The following is a 1,164-nucleotide window of genomic DNA, read 5'->3' as shown; positions in this document are numbered from 1 at the left end:
CTCGTGTCAAAAAGCAAACAAAATCTATAAATAAAAATATCAAAATACACAGAACAACTGAAGCACAAATCCTGCATTAAATACAGTAAAGATTTAATATGACAATGCACTGCTTAATGGAAGACACAAAAATAGGGTGGGGAAGCTAAGGCAACCAGAAAATAAAATCAAAATAATGGGAAAAAATTGGAACCACTGTTTTCCCCCTAGTCGGAGCATATTTTTTTTTTTTGGTGTCTTTCCATTCAAATAATACATAACACTGTACATTTTTTAATGTCATAGAAAAACTTGGTTCTTCCATGAAATCCTTTAAATTCTTGATAAATGTTTCAATGTAGACATTATTATGAATGAAAAACAGCCAACAAATGGGCACTTTTTGTTTTTTTAACACTGAAGATTTGCAGACACCTTTTAAAAGTTATCATAATCTTTTTTTGTCTTTTTTTCTCCTCAGCTTCAAATCCATCAACTCCATCACTATCCCTTCTTCATTTCCTGTTGTCATGGATGTTAAAATGTTGGCTCATTTGTGGTAATGGATCCATGCCTATAACTTTGTATATCTGGTGGAATGCAAGGAGTCTGAATGCAAACTGTGTACTGGATGTGAAGTCTTCACACTGCTGGTCAGTCATTGTTGCCAAGGTATCAAAGGGATCCTTTTCACAAAGATCCAGAAGCCCAGGACTACCTTTAAAAATAATCCCTGAAGAAATGCACTCAAAAACTCTTCTCAGTGCATCCCCAGGGCCCTGAGGGCTAGAAGCACTGCTGATTGCTTTCTCTACTAATAACTCCATAGTTGCAGAAACTTTATCAACTATTTCATCATCTTAAAGTGCCTAGCCATTATGTGCAAGGCATTGTAACCAAAATAAAATGAACATGGGCTCTGTCTTCCAAGAAATTGCAGAAATGTAGAGGTAACGAATAAGTCAAGAATGAGGTAGAAAATAGAAAATTTCTTAAGCCAAATGTAAATACACTAACAGCTCAGAGAAAAATTTTTTCAAGGAAATTCACAGAGAGGATAAACAGGTGGCTTCAGTCTTAAGGGTTAGAGAGGATACAGAAATGAATCATCAAAATCCACTCAATTTGCAAACTTGGATTTATGAATTTATGTGTACTAATTAGACTAACTCTTTGAGGCCCAGG

General features: G+C 35.1%; 1 pseudogene; it reads right to left on the bottom strand.

The window, feature by feature from the left end:
• Nucleotides 1-220: 220 nt before the first annotated feature.
• LOC100289238 (zinc finger RNA binding protein pseudogene) lies at nucleotides 221-808 on the bottom strand (annotated as a pseudogene).

Source organism: Homo sapiens, chromosome 10 (assembly GCF_000001405.40).
Source record: "Homo sapiens chromosome 10, GRCh38.p14 Primary Assembly".
In the NCBI taxonomy this organism is placed as follows: Eukaryota; Metazoa; Chordata; class Mammalia; order Primates; family Hominidae; genus Homo; species Homo sapiens.
The sequence above is the reverse complement of the archived record's forward strand: the minus strand, read 5'-3'. Positions and strand labels throughout refer to the sequence as shown.